At 45.9% G+C, this 5203-nt stretch overlaps 1 protein-coding gene and 1 long non-coding RNA gene across 2 annotated transcripts, besides 4 other annotated features; one reads left to right on the forward strand and one right to left on the reverse strand.

Moving 5' to 3' along the window:
- Nucleotides 1-226: 226 nt before the first annotated feature.
- On the reverse strand, nucleotides 227-1551 carry LOC107984243 (uncharacterized). The gene is made up of 2 exons (XR_001747500.3): nucleotides 1375-1551; nucleotides 227-1200 (listed from the first exon to the last, which is right to left on the reverse strand). It is a non-coding gene; the product is annotated as an uncharacterized LOC107984243 (long non-coding RNA).
- Nucleotides 1287-1596: an enhancer, noted in NCBI's record as "active region_3574". NCBI's record gives its function as "activates an Ori minimal core promoter by ATAC-STARR-seq in GM12878 lymphoblastoid cells {active_cell/tissue: GM12878}" and the evidence as "EXISTENCE:reporter gene assay evidence [ECO:0000049][PMID:35858748]".
- CHCHD1 (coiled-coil-helix-coiled-coil-helix domain containing 1) lies at nucleotides 1646-3250 on the forward strand. Its single transcript, NM_203298.3, has 3 exons — nucleotides 1646-1797; nucleotides 1921-2039; nucleotides 2672-3250. The coding sequence occupies exons 1-3, from the start codon at nucleotides 1674-1676 to the stop codon at nucleotides 2783-2785; spliced, it is 357 nt and encodes a 118-aa protein (NP_976043.1). The 5' UTR covers nucleotides 1646-1673; the 3' UTR covers nucleotides 2786-3250.
- Nucleotides 1717-1856: an enhancer, noted in NCBI's record as "active region_3575". NCBI's record gives its function as "activates an Ori minimal core promoter by ATAC-STARR-seq in GM12878 lymphoblastoid cells {active_cell/tissue: GM12878}" and the evidence as "EXISTENCE:reporter gene assay evidence [ECO:0000049][PMID:35858748]".
- Nucleotides 3546-3720: a silencer, noted in NCBI's record as "fragment chr10:75543706-75543880 (GRCh37/hg19 assembly coordinates)". NCBI's record gives its function as "represses an EF-1alpha promoter that drives an FKBP-Casp9 reporter gene in an ReSE screen in K562 erythroleukemia cells {active_cell/tissue: K562}" and the evidence as "EXISTENCE:reporter gene assay evidence [ECO:0000049][PMID:32094911]".
- Nucleotides 4964-5183: an enhancer, noted in NCBI's record as "active region_3576". NCBI's record gives its function as "activates an Ori minimal core promoter by ATAC-STARR-seq in GM12878 lymphoblastoid cells {active_cell/tissue: GM12878}" and the evidence as "EXISTENCE:reporter gene assay evidence [ECO:0000049][PMID:35858748]".

Raw genomic sequence — 5203 nt, forward strand, 5'->3', positions numbered from 1 at the left:
AGAGTAGTCTGCGCAACATACTGAGACCCCATCTCTACAAAAAATAAAACCAAGCCAGCCGGGTTTGGTGGTGTGAGCCTGTGGTCGCAGCTACTCCAGCAGCTGAGGCAGGAGGATCACTGGAGTGAGGCCAAGGCTGCAGTGAGCTAATATTCCACTGCACTCCAACCTGGGTGACAGAACAAGACCCCAAATCCAAAAATAAATAAATAAATAAAACATTTGCTCATTTAACAAGTATTTATTGGTACTATTCTAGGCACTGGGGATTCAGCAATGAACAAGATAGACAACGTTCCTTCTTTCATGCTTACATTTTTAAATGGGTGTTAGGGATAGGTAAGGCCATAATAAGACAATTCAGACTGTGATAGGTGCTATGGAGAAAACAGGTTGATGGTGGTGAGGTGTGAGAGGTCAGGGAAGCCCTCTGTGACATGAACTGAGACTTAAGGGAAGAAAAATAAGCAGCCATGCAGAAATCAGTGGGAAGATTCCAAACATCTGTGATAAGTGATTTTTTTAACACACTAAATTTACAAATCCAAATGTTCTTCCTCCAAAGTAGTCATGAGCTACAGGCTTGTTTTCTGCTTCCATTACCAAAAACATTTCTTGGAGCTTATTTGGAAATGCTTTGAGAATATGCTGCACATCTTTGGAATGAGTTGTGAAAATGGCCAGAAGAAGTCACTTGAGAAACAAGTCTGGCTGGGCGCGGAGGCTCAGTCATGTAAAGCACTTTGGGAGGGCGAGGCAGGAAGATCGCTTGAACCCAGGAGTTCGAGACCAGCCCGGGCAACATGACAAAACCCCGTCTCTACAAAAAATAATTAGCTGGGCGTGGTGTCTTGCACCTGTGTTCTCAGCTACTCAGGAGGCAGAGGCGGGAGGATCGTTTGAGTTCAGGAGTTTAAAGCTGCAGTGAGCTATGAACGTGCCACTTGCACTCCAGTCTGGGCAACCAAGAGAGACCCTATCTCAAAAAAAATTCTGATTAAGCATCACAACTGAAGGTCCAAGTCTGTAAGACTGGCGAGAGGACTGAAAAAGACGATGAATGCCAAGTGTTTAAGCTTCATCCTACCAACTGAGATTGTTATAAATGAGCAAACGGTATCTAACTAGTAGCAGTAGTAGCAGTTGTTGTTGTTATAAAATGAAACAAGTCTAATTTTTCTTTGCGGCTTTGTAGTGGTCCTATAGGCAGTGAAAAACGACAGTTCTTTCAGGTTTATTAAAGTAAAACACGAATCTTTCCCAACCCAACATCTTAAAGTCTCAAATTTTGATTCGCCACCCCCCCCCCCAACCCCGCCCTATGCCAATCGCCCCTAGACCAAGCCGGCTACCACCAGAACAGTGTCCACTTACCAGGGCCCTTTCCTGCATGTCCCCGGCCCCGTACTGCCCCCAGACTTCGGGGCCCGGAGCCCATCAAGGAGAAGCCTCAGTCGGCGTACGAACCCAGAGTCTCCTCCTAATCTGCTGACAAGTATGAACCCGCCGCTGTTCGAACCCAGCGTCGCCGCAGCCCCGGCCAAGTAAAAGAAAGAGGTGGCTGCCAGCAAGCCAACGAGCCTTCCCCGAGCTCCGCGCCGATTCGTCCAGCCCGTAGGGGTCACGCGAGGTCACGCACGGAACCGCAAAGCCTGCCGGGAGCTTGGTGCGCTATGGCGACACCCAGCCTGCGGGGTCGTCTGGCGCGGTTTGGGAACCCGCGGAAGCCTGTGCTGAAGCCCAATAAACCTCTCATTCTAGCTAACCGCGTCGGGGAGCGGCGCCGGGAGAAGGGCGGTGAGCAGTCGGAGTCAGGACGGCCCCGGAGCGGAAGCCGGAGCATGAGCAGGGGCGGGTGGGTAGGAGGGCAGGAAGGTGGGTCTTCTTGTGACTGAAGGTCCCCCGGATCTGCCCCTCCAGAGGCGACTTGCATCACGGAGATGTCGGTGATGATGGCTTGCTGGAAGCAGAATGAATTCCGCGACGATGCGTGCAGAAAAGAGATCCAGGGCTTCCTCGATTGTGCCGCGAGGGCTCAGGTGACCGATGGCTCCTGGGGTGCTTTCTCAGGAAAAGAATGGGGGAGATAGAAGTAATGATTCTCCCTGCCTTTTGCTAGGAAAGGCCCTTTCATTCATTTGGGAGGTATATTATTCACGCCAAAGTGGGAAAGGTTACAGTTTTGAAGGCTGTGTGATCTTGACGGATTTATTCATTGCTCTGAACTTTCGAGTTACTGTACGTAAAATGAGGCTAACCAATACCACCTTAAAGAATGTTGTGAGTGTCAGATGAAGTAATGAATGGGAAAATCATTTTGAAAAATGTAAATTGCTGCTCAAGTAGACATTATTGTGTGAAATAGAACTAAAGAGACTAAAACTAAATAATGACAATAGTTTGGTTTCCTGTCTAGGCTTAATTGTTAGCTGAGATAGTAGCTTCTGAACATAGTCTCATTTGTAGGTCCCAACGCCCTTTTGTTGAAAAGAGGCTGACATAGATCTCTCCAGGCTGGTTAACATCTTCATGTGCTTTAGGGCATTGTGAGAACTATGGGCCTACATCAGGACAAACTTGATTGATTGATTGGTTTTTTGGGTCAGATCTTAAAAGTCTGGACTAGACAAACTGTAGAGCTGTCATTCTTGTATTTGTTTTGTGTTTTCAGGAAGCCCGAAAGATGAGATCAATACAGGAAACCCTGGGAGAGTCTGGGAGTTTACTTCCAAATAAATTGAATAAGTTGTTACAGAGGTTTCCTAACAAACCTTACCTCAGCTGAAAATGGACAAGTATTTTCAATGACTGAAATATAGCTTCTGACAACTATGCAGAGGCATTTTAGAGACATTGGCATTGCCATGCCCTCTTTGGAGGGTAGAAGAGGCAAAACACTTTTTTCACCCTTTGGAATCATAGTATGGGTAGAAGTTATGATTTATCTTGAAATAAAATCCTCTGAACAGAACTTGGCCTTTTGTTGTGAATTAGGTACTCTCTTCATTCTTGAGCCTCCCCTAGACCCTGGAAATTCTTTCCTTCCTGATTTGCCCTAGGAGCAGGACAAATACCGTTGTATTGTCTTTCCCTGCATTTGAAGTCTTTTACACCATTTAGTGCCCTTGCTTTTGGATGCAATAAGGAAGTTGAAGTTGCCTTCGTCTGTAAATACTTAGTGATTGCCTATTTTGTGCGTAGTCCCTGCAAGGTGCTCTCTGAATAATAAAGTTAACAAACTGGTGACCTAGAGGTTCTGCAGATATGTTTTATTTGATCCACGCAGTTAAAAAAAGTTTTAAAATTAGCTGGTCACGTTCAAAAATAGGAAAAAAAGTCATTAAAATTTCACATTTTAGCTGTATTTATTTATTTGTTTAAGACGCAGTCTCGCTCTGTTGCCCAGGCTGGAGTGCAATGGCACTATCTCAGCTCACTGCAACCTCCGCCTCCAAGGTTCAAGTGATTCTCCTGCCTCAGCTTTCTGAGTAGCTGGGATTACAGGCACCCACCATCATGACGGGCTAATTTTTCTATTTTCAGTAGAGACGGGGTTTCACCATGTTGGCCAGGCTGGTCTCGAACTCCTGACCTCAAGTGGACCACCCGCCTTGGCCTCCCAAAGTGCTGGGATTACAGGCATGAGCCACTGTGCCCAGCCACTTATTTTTTTTAATAAAAAAAATTAAAAGCTCTGGCAGCCTTATTTTCTTATTTCCACCTGGCAGTAATTAGGTAGAGCTGATTATCATTTGTCTGCATTCTCCAGTGACCTCACCACTGGACTCTACAAAATGGTGAAACAGAATTAACAAATGTCTACTTTGTTTATTACCTGTTTCCTTCTCTCAAGTTAGCTGCCTAGTTGCTGAAGGCATTCGCTTTTGTGATTCCCCTGATACTAGGAAAAATTGCATAGCATTTTATGTATACTCTGCCCTTTCAGGCATAATTCAGTTAGCTTTTTTTTTTTTTTTGAGATGGAGTCTCGCTCTGTCGCCCGCGCTAGTGCAGTGGCACGATCTTGGCTCACTGCAAGCTCCGTTTCCCGGGTTCACGCCATTCTCCTGCCTCAGCCTCCCGAGTAGCTGGGACTACAGGCGCCCACCACCACGCCTGGCTAATTCTTTGCATTTTCAGTAGAGACGGGGTTTCACCGTGTTAGCCAGGATGGTCTCGATCTCCTGACCTCGTGATTTGCCCGCCTCAGCCTCCCAAAGTGCTAGGATTACAGGCGTAAGCCACCGCGCCTGGCCTTAGGAGTTCTTAACCTAGGTCAATAGACTCCAGTTAAGACGTCTGTGAACTTGGGGGATAATTTATATTTTTAACTCCAACTGAAATTTAGCATTTCAGTCAGGGCTATGGAAAACAAACCACAGTAACATTATCAAAACCTATATGAAATCATGGTATTTTCATACCATGTTACAGTTGGTTACAAATATCTCAAAAAGCATTTATACTCATCACTAGCTTCAAAATTATGATAGTTACTACGCTTCCTCCTAGATCTTGTCATTTAATGTGTAAATAAAGGAGCACTATTACGTTACAGATTTGTTCTATTAATAGTTTAATAATTGTATTTAAACAACTGGTTTCCTTTGTAATTCTTGGTATTTTGTGCATTTGTAAACGATCTGAGAAGGGGGTCCAGAAACCTACCTAGACTGCTAAAGGGTCCATGGCACAAAAAAAGGTTGAGTTACTAGATCCAAAGGCCGTATGGACAAACAGTACAACCATTTCCTGAAATCAAATGCATTCTTTTCTGATGTTTCCCCAGTTAGACCCTATAAAAAGGTCGGCTGGATTGCAGACTTCTGGACTACGATTCCCAGAAGGTGGTGCGGCCCTGGGGCCTATCCAGAGTTAAGACAATAACTCCATCCAATAGTTGCTGTCCTCTCCTGACAGCCTACAATTCCCAACATGCATGGCGGCTGTTTATGCCTTGGGGACATTATGGACTCCGAGTTGTTGCTGGGATCTGTAGTTGCTTCGTATAACGTTGGGAGTTGGCTTCCTCTTATGATGTCTGAGGGTGGGCTCGAGGGAAAAAAAGCAAATGCAGCCATTAAATAAAAATGTCCCCTACATCCGCCCGTACCCGATCCGGATCCCGAGCGCGCGAGGGCGGAAGTGGTGGTGGCCCGCGCGGCCGGAAGTCCAGATCAGCTGATGGGGGAGGCGGCTCCGC

This window comes from Homo sapiens, chromosome 10, assembly GCF_000001405.40.
Source record: "Homo sapiens chromosome 10, GRCh38.p14 Primary Assembly".
In the NCBI taxonomy this organism is placed as follows: Eukaryota; Metazoa; Chordata; class Mammalia; order Primates; family Hominidae; genus Homo; species Homo sapiens.

Excerpts from the sequence above, each read along its gene's own strand:
- CHCHD1 (NM_203298.3), top strand. The coding sequence starts at position 1,674 with ATGGCGACACCCAGCCTGCGGGGTCGTCTGGCGCGGTTTGGGAACCCG. Across the intron at positions 1,798-1,920 it reads GCGGCGCCGGGAGAAGGGCG|AGGCGACTTGCATCACGGAG; the intron begins GTGAGCAGTCGG and ends CTGCCCCTCCAG. Across the intron at positions 2,040-2,671 it reads ATTGTGCCGCGAGGGCTCAG|GAAGCCCGAAAGATGAGATC; the intron begins GTGACCGATGGC and ends TTGTGTTTTCAG.